General features: G+C 37.8%; 1 protein-coding gene across 9 annotated transcripts in view; it reads left to right on the top strand.

Annotated features, from left to right (window-relative positions):
• The window catches only part of ARID4A (AT-rich interaction domain 4A), a 75,322-nt gene that overhangs the window by 12,606 nt on the left and 42,919 nt on the right, over positions 1-19,797 (top strand). For 8 of the 9 annotated variants that reach the window (XR_001750495.2, XM_005267964.3, XM_005267965.3 and 5 more), the window contains exons 6-11: positions 7,382-7,461; positions 7,551-7,645; positions 12,325-12,457; positions 17,077-17,156; positions 18,368-18,444; positions 18,843-19,009. Coding sequence is in view for 8 of the 9 variants with exons in the window: in XM_005267964.3 (XP_005268021.1) it covers positions 7,382-7,461; positions 7,551-7,645; positions 12,325-12,457; positions 17,077-17,156; positions 18,368-18,444; positions 18,843-19,009 (632 nt within the window). In the remaining variant the exon portion in view is untranslated. Of the gene's footprint in view, positions 1-7,381; positions 7,462-7,550; positions 7,646-9,714; positions 10,353-12,324; positions 12,458-17,076; positions 17,157-18,367; positions 18,445-18,842; positions 19,010-19,797 lie in introns of those variants that run through there. The other variant, XM_047431653.1, reaches the window with a different exon arrangement.

Consider the following 19,797-nt stretch of genomic DNA (forward strand, 5'->3'; position numbering starts at 1 on the left):
GCTTGAACCCTGGAGGCGGAGGCTGCAGTGAGCCAAGATCATGCCACTGCACTCCAGCCTGGGCGACAGAGCAAGACTCCAATCTAAAAAAAAATAAATGAAAATAATAGGCAAAGGACCTGAATAGAAATTTCTCAAAAGCAGACGTACAAATGGCCCACAGGTATGTAAAGAACTGTTCAACATCAGTAATCATCAGGGAAATGCAAATTCAAACTACAAAGAGATTTTACCTCACACCTGCTAGAATGGCTATTATCAAGAAGATAAAAGGTTACAAGCACTGGCAAGGATATGGAGAAAAGGGAATCCTTGCCCGCCATTGGTGGGAAAGTAAATTAGTATAGCCATCATGGAAAATAGCATAGAAGTTCCTCAAAAAATTAAAAATAGAACTACCATATGATCCAGCAATCCCACTCCTGGGTATATAACCAAAGAATTAAACTAGTATGTCAGAGATGTATCTGTATTCCCATGTTTATTGCAGCACTATTCACAATAGCCAAGATATGGGATAAATTTAAGTCTCTATGAGCAGATGAATGTATAAAGAAAATGTGATATATATACATAATGGAATACTATTCAACTTTTAAAAAGAAGGAAATCCTGACATTTCTTACAACATGGTTGAATCCAGGGGACATTATGCCAAGTGAAATAAGCCAGGCACAGGAAGACAAATACCATATGATCTCACTTAAAAAGTCAAACTCTTATTAGAGAGTAGAGTGTTGGTTATCAGGGGTGGGGGCAGCTTGGTTGGGGTGGGCGGGGGGTGAGGGATTAGGTAAATGTCGGTTAAATGATACAAAATTTCAGTTAGAAGGAATAAGTTCAAGAGCTCCATTGTACAACATGATGGTTTTAGCCAATAACAATGTATTGCATACTTGAAAATTGCTAAGAGAGTAGATTTTGAGTGTTCTCACCACACACAAAAAAATAAGCCTGTGAAGTGATCCACATGTTAATTAGCTTGCTTAGCCATTCCACAATGTATACATATTTCAAAACATGTTGTATAAGATAAATACATACTATTAATGTTAAATTTTTTTTTTTTTTTTTGAGATGGAGTCTCGCTTTGTTGCCCAGGCTGGAGAGCAGTGGCGCGATCTTGGCTCACTGTAAGCTCCACCTCCCAGGTTCAAATGATTCTCCTGCCTCAGTTTCCCAAGTAGCTGGGATTACAGGCATATACCATCACCCTGGCTAATTTTTATATTTTTAGTAGAGACGGGGTTTCGCCATGTTAGCCAGGCCAGTCTCGAACTCCTGAGCTCAAGTGATCCACCTGCCTCTGCCTTCCAAAGTGCTGGGATTACAGGCATGAGCCTCCGTGCCCGGTGAAATAAATAATTTTTTTTTAAAAAAACTACTGGCCTTACCTAGGGCATCCGTATGTTTTAAATTTTAAAATGTTTGCTTCATTATGTGAAGAATTCTATAATTTTGTTAATCATAACTGCTGTACATGGATATAACAATAATGATACTTAATTTTCCAAAGTCAGAATTCATGACTTCTTTCTCAGACTTCATTTTATACTTCTGTTTCATGCCTATTATGTCTTTTGATATCCCCTTAACTAAATTGTAGCTCATCAGTTAACTTTCTGATTCTGTTTCTTTACCTATAAAAGGAGGATAATGGTTCCTACTTTGTAGAGGCTGTTGTGAGGATTAGGACATGGTAGAAGCTTAATAAGTGATAGCCAATTATATTTATAGACAGATAAAATTAATTTACTGTTATTATTTTACTATCTTTCAGTATCAGTGCTGTGATAACAGGGAAATGGGTCTTTGTATTTAGTAGTTGATCAGATCCTTTTATTTGAATTCTAGCTGATTAGGGTTAGGATTTGTGTGTTTGTTTGCATTGGCATTACTTTGTCTAATGTGTTTAGTATGGTTGGTGTTACTGTGAAAGTCTCAGCTTTGTCATTTTCCTCTTAATAGATTTTAATATTTTAATCCCTATTAGGATTCTCTAGAGAGAACCAATAAGATATAGATAGATGATAGATAGACAGATTGATACAAGAGGGGATTTCTGAGAGCAGTGGTCCCCAGCCTTTTTAGCACCAGGGACCGGTTTCGTGAGAGACAATTTTTCCATGGATGGAAGTGCTGGGGGATGGTTTCGGGATGAAACTCTTCCTCTTTAGATCATCAGGCATTAGCATCTCATAAGGAATGCACAACCTATTGGTAGATCCCTCGCTTGTGCAGTTCACAGGCATTTGCGCTCCTATGAGAATCTAATGCCACTGCTGATCTGATAGGAGGTGGAGCTCAGGTGGTAATGCTTGCTTGCCCACCGCTAACCTGCTGTCCGGTCCGGTTACCAACAGGCCATGGACTGGTACAGGTTTGTGACCTGGGGGTTGCAGACCCCAGTATTAGAGAAATTTGCTCATCATACTATGAGGACTGAGAATGACCATGACAGGTTCTCTGTAAGCTGGAGACCTGAGATGCCAATAGCTAGGCTCTATCCAAGTCAGAAAGCCTTAGAACCAGGGAAGCTGAGGATATAATTCTTAGTCCCAGGCCAAAGCCTTGAGAAGATCTGAGGGACTGCTGGTATAAGGTGCAGAGTCCCATAGCCAAAGAGCCTGGAGTTCTGATGTCCAAGGGCAGAAGGAGAAGAGTGTCCCAGCTCCAGGAGAGAGAGGAAATCCCTTTCTCTCATTTTTTGTTCTGTCTGGGCCTCCGGCCAATTGGATGGTACTTGCCCACAGTGAGAGTGAATCTTCCCCACCTGGTTCACTGGCACATGTGCCAGTTTCCTCTGGCACACCCAGAAGTAATTGCTTTACCACTTCTCTAGGTATTCCTTAATTCAGTCAAGTTCACATCTAAAATTAACTGTCAAAATACCTAACATAGTAACAGAGATACCACTTTTGGTTATATGTATGTTCTGCTAGACTCAATGAACAATCTATTCAAAAGCCATTTTTGGAAAATATAAGACATTTCATAGAATTATTAAATCCTTGTAGTCTGACTTTTTTTCCTCTTAGCATGCTATAGAAGACTGAACTAAAAAGAAGCTAGACTTGCTATATACAACATTAATTATTTCACTCTTACAAAAATTATACTCTTCAGTGCCTACAAATGTTATGTTCTTTTAGATGAGAGCTCTAAGATGGAAGTTAAGAGAGGAACTTTCTTTTAGATGGAGCTTCTTCATGGTTTTGATCATCAGGGATGTCATGATTGATAAGTTCATAATGTTGTTGGTTTTATAAAAAACATAGAAATATAGAATCAGGGTCTCACTTTGTTGCCCAGGCTGGACTGCAGTGGCAATTATAGCTCCCTGCATCCCTGAACTCTTGGGATCATGTGATCCTCCTACCTCAGCCATTCAAGTAGTTAGGACTACAAGCACCTGCCACCATACCCAGCTAATTTTTAATTTTTTTTTTGTAAAGACGGGGTCTCGCTGTGTTAGCCAGGCTGGTCTCCAACTCCTGGACTCAAGGGATTCTCCTGCCTTGGCTTCCCAAAGCACCAGGATTACAGGTGTGAGCCATCACACCCCTGCCCCCCATTGTTGGGTTTTCTATTTCTCTTTCAGAAAATCTTGCAAAATTACAAATTTATAAAGTACCCAACATACATTTGTATAATTTTGTGAATTAAAAAAATCTTAGTCTGGGTTCAGTGGCTCACACCTGTAATCCCAGCACTTTGGAAGGCCAAGGTGGGTGGAACACTTGAGGCCAGGAGTTTGAGACCAACCTGGTCAACATGGTGAAACCCCGTCTCTACTAAAAATACAGAAGTTAGCCGGGCCTGGTGACGTGCACCTGTAATCCCAGCTACTTGGGAGGCTGAGGCACGAGAATCACTTGAATCTGGGAGGCCGAGGTTGCAGTGAGCCAAGATCATGCCACTACACTCCAGCCTGGGTGACAGAATGAGACTCTGTCTCTAAATAAATAAATAAATCTTAAATTATTTCTTTTTGTTCACTTAAGGTTGGGAGGGTTCCTATATAAAACTGTAAAATAGTTGTTTGTATCATAATCCCCTTTTGAGCAATCTCTTTTTTTAAAAAAAAATTTCTATCCATGATAAGGTATATTTAAGTGAAATGAATTTTTCCTTCCAAAAATCTGATTTTATTTCAAAGTGATTATTGAAATTTTTGAATTGTTGAAATTCAAAAATTGCTGAAATATTTTGTTTAAAATGTTGAAATTGTTGAAATTTTTCATCAGAACATTTTGGTTTAGGGCTGCCATTGATTAATGATAAAACATTATAGAAAATATTTTGTTATATAAATTTTGGAGTGTTGGTCTTACATTCACATTTTCCTTTTTCATACCTCCATTTAAATGTGTGTGTGTGTCTAGTATCGTCATCTTTGGTATTGTAGGCATTAAGAAAAGTTGAAAACCTTTCAGGTTTTATTCTTTTTGAAATCTTATACTTACAGATACTAATACTAACAAGAATTATATTGTTTGGTTTGTGATAATTTAATGATTTAAAAACTTTAAGAGAACAGTGGTTAATTTTTTAGACTTGACACTATATGAATCATAGTTTTTATATCAAATATTTAGCACCCTATTACTCAAGTGCAGATCAGTGATGTAATCATTGGAGGATGTTGTGTTTTAACCTGTCATTGTGCCTGCAGCTAGTCATTAATTTCTGGATCATTGACTGTGTATAGCACAGCTGCTTTTTTAGAATCATGGTTCTTTGAGTATGTGCTTCGGGAGTTTTTAATTTTTTCCACATTGTCTCCTGCATGTAAAAGAATCTAAGCTAGGTATCTGTAGTCTAAGAGGGAGAACTGATTGAAGTAAATAAATATTTAACATGTTGAAAGCTTTTATATAATTTTCTTTCAAAAAACTTATTCATTAAAGGTAAGCGTAGGATTTGAAGGCAAAGTGTTTGCTAATAAAACAACCTTTTCAGAAAATAATTCAGGATTATAATTTCATAGGTAACCAATTAAAAAATTCTAAGATATCAAATGAATGTAATGTAGAATTTCTTTTTGTTAACACTGACTTATTCTGTTAGAATGGAAAAAAGTATCTAGAATTGTGAAAATTAGTACTAAATCTTGATAATTGTTTTTGGGTACATATGTATGCTTTCTTGTTAAGTGAATATGGATGTTAAGTGTCTGAAGTAAAGATTATATCTTATTTTATTCATAACCTGGGGCAATGAGGTACCTTCTGAGAGCATTTTCTTTTTAATAAACTATAAATGTTGGATGCTAAAATCAGAATACAGTCTCAAAAGTTAAACCTATACAATTATCAAAATAATATATTGTTAGTGATTAGGAGAATATTAGGGATAAATTGTAAAATTCCTTACCCCATTTCCTTGAAATGTTTAAATATAGTCAAGTAGTACGATTTTGTTTGTTTGTTTGTTTTAGACGAAGTTTTGCTCTTGTTGTCCAGGCTGGAGTGCAATGGCGCAATCTCTGCTCACTGCAACCTCTGCCTGCCGGGTTCAAGAGATTCTCCTGCCTCAGCCTCCCGAGTAGCTGAGATTACAGGCGTGTGCCACCATGCCTGGCTAATTTTGTATTTTTAGTGGAGACAGGGTTTCTCCATGTTGGTCAGGCAGGTCTCGAACTCCCGACCTCAGGTGGTCCGCCCGCCTCGGCCTCCCAAAGTGCTGAGATTACAGGCGGGAGTCACCGCGCCCGGCCAAGTAGTATGATTTTTTAAAATATGTACTAAAGGCCAGGCGCGGTGCTCACGCCTGTAATCCCAGCACTTTGGGAGGCTGAGGCAGGTGAATCACAAGGTCGGGAGATGGAGACCATCCTGGCTAACATGGTGAAACCCCATCTCTACTAAAAATACAAAAATATTAGCCGGGCGTGGTGACGTGTGCCTGTAGTCCCAGCTACTGGGGAGGCTGAGGCGGGAGAATGGCGTGAACCCGGGAGGCGGAGCTTGCAGTGAGCTGAGATCGCGCCACTGCACTCCAGCCTGGGGGACAGAGTGAGACTCAGTCTCAAAAAAAAAAAAAAAAGTAGTAAAAGCAAAAAATTTGAGAAAGCATCTATGTAATTATGATTTTTTTTAAAGTTTCTTTCTTTCTTTCTTCTTTTTTATTTTTTTTTTTTGGGACGGAGTCTTGCTCTGTCGTAGAGGCTGGAGTGCAGTGGTGCAATCTCGGCTCACTGCAAGCTCCGCCTCCTGGGTTCACGCCATTCTCCCGCCTCAGCCTCCCGAGTAGCTGGGACTACAGGCGCCCGCCACCACGTCTGGCTAATTTTTTTTGTATTTTTAGTAGAGACGGGGTTTCACCGTGTTAGCCAGGATGGTCTCGATTTCCTGACCTGACCTCGTGATCCGCCCACCTCGCCTCCCAAAGTGCTGGGATTACAGACGTGAGCCACCGCGCCTGGCCTAAAGTTTCTTTTTAAAAAAACCTTTATATTTGTCTTTTTTTTTTTTTTTTTTTTTTTTGAGACAGAATCTTGGTTTTGCTGTCACCCAGTGGCACAATCATGGCTCACTAACCATGGTTGAGCCTTGGTTTTTCGCGGCTCAAGCAATCGTTCCACCATGGCCTCTCCAGTAGCTGGGACCACAGGCATGAGCCACCACGCCTGCCCTACAAACTTTTATCTTTCTGTTTCCTTATTTCAACCTTTATTTCTAAACTTCTCAGCTGGGTACAGTGGTTGATGCCTGTAATCCGAGCACTTTCGGAGGCTTAGGCGGGAGGATAATTTGAGGCCAGGAGTTTGAGACCAACCTGGGTAAAATAGCAAAATCCTGTCTTTATTAAAAAAAAAAAAAGTTTTTTTAAACAGACTACTTACATCCTTTTCTAACAAAAGAAAGAACTTGTATCTTATGACTTTAGAATTTGGCAGCTGGTACATGTGTAGTAGGTTATCATGCAAATAAATAGAAGCAGTAGAATAATTCAATAGCAATACCAGGAGTCAGTTTCTGGAAGTTAGGGGTACTCTAATATTAAACTTTTGTGGAAAAATCCATAATACTTTTTTTAATCAGGTTTTTGTTCATTCTTCTAGGATTGCAGTTAATTTAATATTTATGCTTTGACTAGGTTGCTAATGAGTTAAGAAGGTGGTTCTGTAGTGATAGAAATCAAAAAAGCAGATGGAAATACTTAAGCAGTCGTGGGCAGCCATTTAACCTGTGTTTTTGGTATCTGTAGAATGAAAAATATGGCATGGTATGCTCATTGTAAAGGTTTTGAAAAATGACTAAAATAATGGTTCTTACAAATATTAAGCTCTAATTAATAGCAATAATAGCATTCTGTGCTTTTAAGTTTTTATTTCATTAGTGTGCATAAATTCTCTGTTATCTTTTGCTTATTATAGTGTTTGATGATGGTGATGAGCGAACATTGAGACGTACCTCACTTTGTCTGAAAGGAGAGAGACATTTTGCAGAGAGTGAGGTAGGGTGACACGGATGGACGATTTGGATTGAACTACAGGTACTGATCTAGAGGTAAAACGTAATTTAATTAATCTATTTCTTATACAGACACTTGACCAGCTTCCATTAACAAATCCAGAGCATTTTGGAACTCCAGTAATTGCAAAGAAGACGAACAGAGGAAGGAGATCTTCTCTTCCTGTGTGAGTTTTTTCATATATGGTATCATTTTAATTACAATTATTATAACCTTAAACAAGGGATTTTGTTAGGATGGCTAAATTCATTTGGGTAAGCTTTCCATAGCATATTGTATCCTTATGTTAGACATTTTACCCTGAGTGGACCTTGTTCTTAATTATTCCCAATATTTGCCCAGGAATGATAACAACTCTTACTTCTAATAGATTATTTTTGTTTTAAGTTACTTTGCCGAAGTTTTTTTTGTTTTGTTTTGTTTTTGATTTTGTTTTTTGAGACGGAGTCTCGCTCTGTTGCCCAGGCTGGAGTGCAGTGGTGCAATCTCGGCTCACTGCAACCTCCGCCTCCTGGGTTCAAGCAATTCTCCTGCTTCAGCCTCCTGAGAAGCTGGGACTACAGGCATGTGCCACCACACCCAGCTAATTTTTTTTTTTTTTGTATTTTTAGTAGAGATGGGGTTTCACCATATTGGCCAGGCTGGTCTCGAACTCCTGACCTCGTGATCCACCTGCTTCAGTCTCCCAAAGTGCTAGGATTACAGGCGTGAGCCACCACACCCAGCCTGAGCCACTGCGCCAGGCCCAAAGTTTTTAATTGATATGATGATTTTTCTATTTTAAGTGAGTATATGTTTTTTATCTTTTACTTCAAAAACATTTCAAACTTAAAGATTGCAAGAATAATACACGAATATCTGTGTATGAATGTCTATATACTCTTTTTTTTTTTTTTTTTTTTTTTTTTTTTTTTTTTTTTTGGTGAGATGGAGTTTGTCTGTGCCACCAAGGCTGGAGTGCAGTGGCATGATCTTGGCTCACTGCAACTTTTGCCTCCCAGGTTCGGTGATTCTCCTGCCTCAGCCTCCTGAGTAGTTGGGATTACAGACACACCATCACGCCTGGCTAGTTTTTGTATTCTTAATAGAGATGAGGTTTCGCTTTGTTGGCCAAATGGGTTTCGAACTCCTGACGTCAAGTGATTTGCCCGCCTTGGCCTCTCAAAGTGCTGACTGGGATTATAGATATGAGCCACTGCACCTGGCCTAATGTCTATATACTCTTTATCTAGATTTACCAGTTCTTAACATTTTTCACACATTTGCTTTACGATTCCCTCTCTATATATATACTAATTTTTTTCTTTTCTTTTTTTTTTTTTTTTTTGAGACGGAGTATCACTCTGTCGCCAGGCTGGAGTGCAGTGGTGCAATCTCAGCTTATTGCAGCCTCTGCCTCCCAGGTTCAAACGATTCTCCTGCCTCAGCCTCCCGAGTAGTCAGAACTACAGGCGCGTGCCACCACGCCCAGCTAATTTTTCTATTTTTAGTAGAGACAGGGTTTCACCATGTTGGCCAGGATGATCTCGATCTCTTGACCTCATGATCCACCTGCCTCAGCCTCCCAAAGTGTTGGGATTACAGGCGTGAGCCACCACACCCGGCCTATACTAATTATTTTTATATTTTGTAATAATTTTATTTTTCTGAACTATTTGAGAGGAAGTGGCAAGCATCATGATCCTTTATCATTAAATATTTAGGAACAAGGAGATGTTCTTACATAACCAAAGTATGAATACCAAATTTAGAAAATTTAACGCTGATAGACTACTATCATAATATATGGTTAATATTTCAAACTTTGTCAGTTGTTCCAATAATAGCCTTTATAGCGTCCCCCAGTTCCCCTGATTACAGGATCCAATTCAGGATCATGCATTGCATATAGTTTATATGGTTCTTGAGTCTCCTTTAATCTAAAAAAATTCTGTAGCCTTTTTTCTTCCATGACATTGACTTTTTTTTTTTTTTTTTTTTTCCCCTGAGACGGAGTCTCGCTCTGTCACCCAGGCTGGAGTGCAGTGGCTGGATCTCGGCTCACTGCAAGCTCCACCTCCTGGGTTCTTGCCATTCTCCTGCCTCAGCCTCCCGAGTAGCTGGGACTACAGTCGTCCACCACGACGCCTGGCTAATTTTTTGTATTTTTAGTAGAGACGGGATTTCACTGTGTTAGCCAGGATGGTCTCGATCTCCTGACCTCGTGATCTGCCCGCCTCGGCCTCCCAAAGTGTTGGGATTACAGGCATGAGCCACCACGCCCAGCCGATGACATTGACGTTTTTGAAGAATACAAGACAATAGTCTTGTAACCTGTTCCCTAATATGTTGGATTGTTTTCTCATTGTTAGATTCAGGTTATATATTATACTCCATAAGTGATGTTGTGTCCTGAAGGAAAGCACAGCAAGAAGTATTATCAGTTTGTCCCATATCTGGTGATACTAACTTTGATTAAGGTGGTGCCTGCCAAATTTCTAAACTTCAGAATTACTATAGTTACCGTTTTTCCCCTTTGTAAAATCTGTGTGGAGATACTTTGAGACTATTTAAATATTCTAGTCTCTGTCAAACTTTGATTCACAAATTTTATCATGTACTAATAATTCTTGCCTGAATCAGTTAGTACTATTATGATAGCAAAATGCTGATTTTTCTAATTTTTCATTCTTGCTACATTTTTTGGTTATCGCTTAGCTATAATGAAATTCTTTTCCTAACGCTATGGATTCTAATTTTACTTAATGGGTTACAATTCAGGTTGTTCCAGATTTAGCCAAGGGAGCCTGGGAGCCTTTCCAGGATGGCTTCTGTGTTCTTTTGATATGGCCTCACCATTTCTTGAGCACTTTTTCACCTTCTGGCATGACAAGGTATCCTAGGCTCATGTTAATTTTTTCCTGCGCCAACCCTGGAATTGGCCATTTCTACAAGGGTCCCTCATTTATTTTAGTGGGAATTAATATTTAGAAACCAAGATCCTGGTATTAGATATGTACTCACTGCTGCTGGGGAGTATATAATGAGTATTTTTAAAGGCAAAGTCAGATAACACCTAAGCTGCAAACCAGAAAATAATAAAAGACCTCCGAGGACCCTAAATGGAAATCCCAACTCAGCCATATACTAGATATATCACTTTGGGAAAATTACTTAACCTCTTTAAAGTTAACTACATTTATGTACATTAAATCTTCACAAAAACCTGCAAGATATTATTATTCTCAATTTATAGCTGAGGAAAATGGGAACAGTAATGTCTTGCTGGTTTTTGTATTAGATAATGTATAGAATTTTCTTTTTTGTTGTTGTTGTTGTTTTTTTTGGTTTTTTGTTTGTTTGTTTTTTTGAGATGGAGTCTCACTCTGTCACCCAGACTGTAGTGTAGTGGTGCGATCTTGGCTCACTGCAACCTCTGCCTCCCAGGTTCAAGTGATTCTCGTGCCTCAGCCTCTCGAGTAGCCAGGACTACAGGTGTGTGATACCACACCTGGCTAATTTTTGTGTTTTAGTAGAGATGGGGTTTTGTCATACTTGCCAGGCTGGTCTCCAACTCCTGACCTCAAGGGATCCACCCGCCTCGGCCTCCCAAAGTGCTCAGATTACAGGTGTGAACCACTGCACCCAGCCGATAATGTATATAAATTTATTAGTGTGTAATAAGTACTCAGGACATGATATATATTTAATAATTCAATACCCAGTATTTTATTTCTAAGCTAACTCCATAGACTTCTACTGAAAACTCCTTCATACTTATTTTATAATTTTAACAAGTTGAGTTATCTGGTTTCTCAGAGTGCAGCAGATTGGAAGATGTGTCAAAAGGAAATACAGGAAAGATCAGTAGATGCAGTCAATAAAGAAAACTGTGGAGTCTCACAGCTGAGAAGTCTATGACAAGAAAAAAAGGACTAAAACCATAAAAATATAATGAACCAAGTGGTTTTGAGCCATTTAATAAGAGTTAATAGCTCTGCATACTTTAATAAACTCCAACATTATCAATATATTGCAGGATGTCTTAAAAATGTAGGCTTGGCTGGGCACGTTGCCTCACACCTGTAATCCCAGCACTTTGGTAGGCTGAGGCGGGCAGATCACTTAAGGTCAGGAGTTCAAGACCAGCCTGGCCAACATGGTGAAAACCTGTCTCTACTAAAAATACAAAAATTAGCTAGGTGTGGTGGCATGCGCCTGTAATCCCAGCTACTCAGGAGGCTGAGGCAGGAGAATCTCTTGAACCCCAGGAGGCAGAGGTTGCAGTTAGCTGAGATAGCACCACTGAACTCCAGCCTGGGTGACAAAGCGAGACTCCATTTCCAAAAAAAAAAAAAAAAAATATATATATATATATATATATATGCTTAAAATTTGTTGAAACTTAAGGGTAAACTTTAGTTACCCAGATAAGTTACCTTAAGTAAACCTTATGGGTGTTTTAATGAGATATTTTCATAGCCAGTTAGAAAATTAAAGTTATATGTTATATTATCTGGCATAAAAATAGAAGGGCAATCTTAAAAAAAAAAAGTATTTGGCACAATAAGTATTTAATGGTGGTGTAATTAGGTTTTTCTGTCCCAGCTGGTGGTGGCATGAGAGCCTAAGTCTAAGCACTCATTGATCTGGCGAAGTGGACTCAGAGTTACCATAGACAACTCAGGACTACATACCTCTGTGAGGCTAAGGAAGGACCCATGTCTTCAGTTACAATAAGAATGGAGAGGCTACTACTTTAGGGTGTAGTCCATTAGAAATTGAATTGACTATATTAAATTCACAATACTCTGTATCAAATAATTGTTTGTGTTAGGATAATGATCAAGTTATTCTAACTTTTAGTACTGAAGATGAAAAGGAAGAAGAAAGCAGTGAAGAGGAAGATGAAGACAAGCGCCGTCTCAATGATGAATTACTAGGAAAAGTTGTAAGTGTGGTGTCTGCAACGGAGAGGACTGAATGGTATCCTGCTTTGGTAAGTAAAGTTTCTTTGCAGAGTTAATCAGCCGTCTAAATATTTGTTTTAAATGGATTTTTTTAAAAGCATTTAAAATATTTTGAAAGTATTAAACAAATTTGGACTTTATTGGAGATTTTTTAATTGAATAATCATAGTCAGGTCCATAATACTTCACTGTCTTCTTTGGTTATTCTTTCTTTAATTCTCTGTAGGCTTTTATTGAGCTCTTTTATATTTCTTCCCTCATAATATGTCCAATGGCTTTTTACTCTATTCCCATTACCTTAGGTTCCCTTTTTTTTTTTTTTTTTTTTTTTTTTGAGATGGAGTCTCGCTCTGTCGCCCAGGTTGGAGTGCAGTGGCGCGATCTCGGCTCACTGCAAGCTCTGCCTTCCGGGTTCACGCCATTCTCCTGCCTCAGCCTCCGGAGTAGCTGGGACAACAGGCGCCTGCCACCACGCCTGGCTAATTTTTTGTATTTTTAGTAGAGACAGGGTTTCACCATGTTAGCCAGGATGGTCTCGATCTCCTGACCTCATGGTCCGCCCACCTCGGCCTCCAAAGTTCTGAGATTATAGGCGTGAGCCACCGCGCCTGGCCTTAACTTGATTCTTGAATTCTTTCTTTACTGTTAATTCAGATTAATTTTCCAGTACTAACTTTTATAGAGAAATCGTTTTTTCTTGCTGTTGTGACAGGGTCTCACTCTGTTTCCCAGGCTGGAGTGCAGTGACGTGAGCACAGCTCACTGCAGCTTCAGCCTTTTGGGCTCAGGCGTTCCTCCTGTTTCAGCCTCCCAAGCAGCTACAAGTACAGGAGTGTGCCTCCACACCTGGCTATTTTTTTATTTTTTATTTTTTGTAGACATGTAGCCTCATGATGTTTCCAGGCCAGTCTCAAACTCCTGGGCTCAAGCAATCTTCTCACTTTGGCCTCCCAAGGGGCCGGGATTACAGGTATGAGCTGGTATGCCTGGCTGAGAAGTCTTTTTAAAATATCATTTAGTCATGATAGTCCCATTCTCAGAAATAGACAACCTTCAGCGAGTCTGCCTAATTGATCAGTTTTGCATTTTTTAAATGGATATTTGAGGCCATCCCTGGCTCTCAATTTATTTCCTATTTTTAATGTAAACTCTACTCAAGTTCTTTAACTGCCCTGTATTTAAGATACATCACTCCTCTAAGCATTTATCCCTGCCTTAAATTAATTAGTATTTACTGAGGATCTGCAGTGAGTTCAGCTTTGTTCTAAGCTCCTTAGAAGATAAACAAATACGAGGCTTTAATGTATTGCCCTCAAGAAGCTTACTGTAGACATGTAAGAGATTACATAGTTATTAAAGATTGTATAGTAAATTAAAAAAAACAATTTGGTACTGAATGGAGTAAGAAAGGAGGGGTTCACCTAAAATTTAAGGAAGATTTTAGAAATGACAAGTTTTGGATGGGTTGGTAGAGAAAGCTAATTTTTGCTTACACAGAGAAGGAATAAGAAGAAGCGATACACAAGAGAATTATTTCAGAGAGGAATAAAAAATGATTGGAAATTAATGCCTTTTTTCTTCTCTTCCTACTCCTTTACTTCCTCCTCCACTTCTTCATCCCCTCTTAAATATCTCTTAAAGTTCAGCTCAAGTCCTACATTCTTTGCAAGGTTTCTCTTAAATACTCTTGTTTTGTTTTGTTTTGTTTTGTTTTTGAGAGAGGATCTTTGTTGCCCAGACTGGAGTGCAGTGGTGTGATCACGGCTCACTGCAGCCTTAACCTCCCTGGGCTTAGGTGATCCTCCCACCTCAGCCTCCTGAGTAGCTTGGGACCACAGGTGTACATCACCACACCTGGCTAATTTTTGTATTTTTGTGTGGAGATGTGGTTTTGCCATGTTCTCCAGGCTGGTCTCAAACTCCTGGGCTCAGACAATGGCCTTGGCCTTCCGAGGTGCTGGAATCACAGGTGTGAGCCACTGCGCCTGGCCCTAAATATTCTTAACATAAGTATGCCCCTTTGATTTTTGGTATCACTTATCTCTAATAATAATTGTGGCACAAAATGTATCCCAAATTAGACTATAATCCTGTAAAGAGCTGAAAGTATATTTTTAGGTTTCTATGTGCATGTAAATATATTACTCAGTTCCTAGATAATAGATTTAATTTGTATGGGGAAATTCTGAAAGTCCCTTGAACCTTTCAGTTGTATAGAAAAATAAGTAATTTGGATTCAGAATATTCAGATTGTAGGTTTGCCAAGAGTTTTTTTTTTTAATAACAAATTCTTTTATTTACTCAGATTTATCATTTACCAGGGGATATTGAAAATAAAAAATAAGTAAGACACTATTCTTACATTTGACGATTTTATGTATAATGTACAGAATAATTCAAGTAACAGTAATATAAAATAGTATATGTTCAATATTAGGACTCCCTGGCCTGAGAGATTACATTTATTTGAGGAAAATACAGAAAGCCTTCACAAAGCAGGTGCTTTTGAGGTGAGCTTTGAAGGATTTAAAGATAGTAGGCAAAGCTTCACTAGAGGAAACAAAAAAATAGGTTAAAAAAATAGCATGCCTGTAATCCCAGCACTTTGGGAGGCTGAGGTGGGCAGATCACGAGGTCAGGAGATCGAGACCATCCTGGCTAACATGGTGAAACCCTGTCGCTACTAAAAACACAAAAAATTAGCCAGGCGTGGTGGTAGGCACCTGTAGTCCCAGCTACTTGGGAGGCTGAGGCAGGAGAATGGCATGAACCCGGAAGGCGGAACTTGCGGTGAGCTGAGATCGCGCCACTGCACTCCAGCCTGGGCAACAAAGCAAGACTCTGTCTCAGAAAAAAAAGTAGGAATGGGTTTGTTCATGGAACTGTTTGCTCTGGGAATCCATTTTGGCTAAATATTAGATGCGAGTGGGGGAATAATAGGAAATATAGCTGTGAACATAATTTGAATCTAGGGCAGAAGGGTCTTTAAAAGTTCATCTAAAGAATTTGGACATAATTCTGCAGAGAATTTTCCAAAAGAGTGTTGTTATTTGAGCTACATGTTTAGGAACGTGAATGAAGAATGGCGTGTTACTAGAAAGACTGGAGGTGGCAGGAATCTATTTGAAGGCCATTAAATAGTTCATAGGTAAGGTAATTAGACCTTGGGTTATGCCTACTCATCCTTTAAAATTTACCTTAAGCTTTTCCTGCCACACCTTTTCCTTGCCCAGGTTAGGTGAAATCTTCCTCCTTGATGTTTTCATACTATTATGTGCCTAGTGGTATCACTGTACTTATCCTCCATTGTGTTCTTTTTGTGTATCTTTTTATGTTTGCCCCTCCAGTATACTGTTAGCTCCTTGAGGGTTGGCACAGCTATATTATTAGTCTAATAATTACTGGCACCAAGCAAACAAACAAATACTTCCATCTGGTGTTAAGACAGCTGATGTGACTGCCAAGAATATTCAATTATCTGGATATACACTATTCAGTATGATAACCATGAACCATATGTGGCCATTTAAGTTTAAATGTAACTTAATTAAAATAAAATAGAATTAAAAATTCAGTCTCTCAGTTGCACCAGCCACATTTCAAGTGTTTAGCACCATGTGACTCACTGCTACTGTATAGGGCAGTGCAGATATAGAACGTTTCCATCAGTGCACAAAGGTCTGTGAATGGTGCTGGAATGTAGCAGAGAGAGGCTAGTGTTAGGGAGAGCATGAACAGATATATTTAATCAGCTTTTAAAAAATATAAAGTTCTATAAAGGATACAGAGAGTATTTACCAATTATATTGTTAAGATACTATTTTCAGAAGTTAAGAAATTAAAAAGTTCTTTGTTCATGTTTTAACTTGTTTTAATTACTAAGGATTGTACATATCTTGGTTAAAAAAGGTAACATAGATTTTTTTTTTTTAATGACCAGATTTCAAAAAAGATCCTTATTCAAGTATATTTTTAAAAATTATATGCCAAATTTTCATCACAGATTATACATTTTATTTTTTGGACAATAATTTAGCTTAGAATAAATCCTCATATTTTTAAAGTGCTGGTCACATTTGAATTTATATTTCTTTTCTTTTTGAAATGGGGTCTCATTCTGTCACCCAGGCTGGAGTGCAGTGTTGTGAATTTGGCTCACCGCAGCCTCCACCTCCTGGGCTCAAGTGATCTTACCATCCCAACCTTTTGTGTAGCTGGGACTATAGGCACACACCACCACACCAGGCTAATTTTTGGTATTTTTGGTAGAGACAGGGTCCCACTATGCCACCCAGGCTGGTCTTGAACTCCTGAGCTCAAGCCATTTGTCCACCTTGACCTCCCAAAATGCTGGGATTACATGCATGAGTCACTAGGCCTGGCCCTGTTATTTCATTAATTATTCACTTTATAATCTAATGACTATGGATAAATTAAATTTCTAGGCAACCAATGTGCAGACAAAACATATAAGGGTATATTTTTTTGTATGCAATTCATTAATAATAGGAGCTATTTATAATGAAGCTGTTTTTTGTAAAATATAATCTATTTGAGAAGTTAGGGGATCCAGAATTGTTCTTTTGAAAAATACTGTTTTTCTGAGCACAGGAAATAGGAATCAATCTGTTCTTATTTTATATTTCAGGTAATATCTCCCAGCTGTAATGATGACATCACAGTGAAAAAGGATCAGTGTTTAGTTCGATCATTTATTGATTCTAAATTGTGAGTAATGAATCCTTTAATGATGTTACGTGGGAGGAAAAAAAAAATAGAATTACAATGATAGACACCTCCCCCACCAAAACTTTATTTTTAAAAGTCTAATCATTCATGAACTGAGAAGTTGTTACCTAATAGGTTTTGACTTTTTGTAATGTAGGGTATTTTTCACTAATAAATTTTATATAAAAAATGTGAACATTATGTGAGAACAATATTAAGAACAGTTTTTTTTTTAGCAAAAGATGGTATTGATTTTTTCCTTAATTGTAAAATTCTATATTTTTATCATGTACTAGTAGTATGTGACATTTATTATTAACTCCGAAGCTTATTTTTTAATCTCTATTACAAGAGCAATTATTTTGACTTTTTTCATGATTACAATCCAGACTTTTGGGCCGGGCGCAGTTGCTGACGCCTGTAATCCCAGCACTTTGGGAGGCTGAGGTGGGCAGATCATGAGCTCAGGAGATCGAGACCATTCTGGCCAACATGGTGAAACCCTCTCTCTACTAAAATATAAAAAATTAGCCGGGTGTGGTGGTGCATGCCTGTAGTCCTAGCTTCTCGGGAGGCTGAGGCAAAGGAATTGCTTGAACCCGGGAGGCAGAGGCTGCAGTGAGCCGAGATCGCGCCACTGCACTCCAGCCTGACGACAGAGTGAGACTCTGTCTCAAAAAAAAAAAAAATCCAGACTTACAGAAACTTTTTCCTAACCTCATCTCTGCTTTGTGATCAAAACAGTGAAATTAAAAAAGTTTTTTGAGTTATAGTTCTCTGTGAAAAATTTAATGCCATAATATATTTTATAGTGATAAAAATATTTCAATATTACTGTCTAGTAAATGTGCTTTTTTACTAAAATGAAAAATAAATTTCACAAATAATAAAATAGACATTGTTGTCTACAAGTGTTGAAAACATCATGCTGATATGAATTACCCCGTACTATCTGTAGGAGGATTGTATAGATTGAAATATTGTGAATGTGAGGCTCTCAATGTACTTTGAGTATATACAACTTCAGAATTAAGATAACTAACTTTGCCCGTATTTCCTCTTCTTACCTTTTGTTAAGGACTAAGATAAAAACATTTTATAGACAATATTTTGATTTTGAGGTTTTTATTTTTCTATGTGTTAACATGAACTATTTAAGTGATAATTTTTATTGAATAAATTGTTTTCCTCCCCTTCTTCTTGATAATTAGTTACTCTATAGCAAGAAAGGACATTAAGGAAGTAGACATTCTCAATCTACCGGAATCTGAGCTCTCCACTAAACCAGGTAAAATAAAGATGAATTACCCTATTATTTTATGTTGTGGCTCTATTTGGAAAATAGCAAATAAAGCAAGACTGATACTCTCTGGTACCACCATTTTAACTGTTTAGAGTTGATATCCACTCTTACTTGATTTTTTTTTAATGTCTAGATACAATATTTGATTTGTGATTAGATAAGTTTAACTTTTCGTATTTTACCATTGTCTCACAGTATTCCGTAAAGTAATAACAAATGTTTATATAACATTATAACTTATGAAATATGTTAAAGCTTACTGTATCATTTTATAAATGACAGCCGAATTTGAATTCAGATCTTTGATTCTGAATGCCATGCCTTTTCTATTGTTCTATGCTGCCAATTCCATAGCAACTGCTGAAGTACATTTTCACTCTTAGGGCTTCAGAAAGCAAGCATCTTCTTAAAAACTAGAGTTGTTCCTGATAATTGGAAAATGGATATAAGTGAAATCCTTGAGTCATCCAGTAGTGATGATGAAGATGGCCCAGCTGAAGAAAATGATGAAGAGAAGGAAAAGGAGGCCAAAAAGACAGAAGAAGAGGTGGTAGGTGTAATTTCATGTTTGTAACAAAAACATCTTAATACTCTCTAGTGAAAATAATACCTTCATATATTTTTCCCTCTGTTTAGATTCTCTATTATTTGTTTCTGTCCGTTTCTAGCATTGCTTAATTTGGGTGTTGAGGAAGCATTTTGGCTCATAGCATAGTGTGTAAATCAGAACTAATTCTTAGTAAGAGATTACAAGAAAATACTTTTCAGGTTAGTTAATCAACAAGTGCAAACTGGTTTTTTTGGGGTCTTTTCCAAAACAACCCAGGAGGGAAAAAAATGTAATTTTTAGGTATTTTATATGTGTAACTCATTTAAACTACTACCATATGAAGTAACTGTTGTTATCCTACTTTAAAGGTAAGGAAAGGGAGATTCAGAAAAGTTAAGTAACTTTCCCAAGCTGGCACAACTAAAATGGGTAGAAGAGGGATTTGTACTCAGGTCTGGCCTGTCTCAACTTTAAAACCTCTTTCAGACATTTCACAATATTTCAAGGATAATTAAGGTTAAAAAAAATCCTATCCAAACCCCAAAGAAAATTTCATTTGGCAATTTGATAAATCATAGAAAATATTTAGATTATATGTTCTAAGTGCTAATGGTTTTCTTTATAATATTGCCATGTCATTTATAATATGCATATAATTGTAGGAAATCATCCATGGAGTACTTCATGATTGCTTATATGAATACTGTTGTTTATTCTGCAGTGTTGTATCAAATGGGATAAACTGTCTAGTACATTTTTGGTTGTTACGGGGTAAAAGGGTTTAGGGG

Source organism: Homo sapiens, chromosome 14 (genome assembly GCF_000001405.40).
Source record: "Homo sapiens chromosome 14, GRCh38.p14 Primary Assembly".
In the NCBI taxonomy this organism is placed as follows: Eukaryota; Metazoa; Chordata; class Mammalia; order Primates; family Hominidae; genus Homo; species Homo sapiens.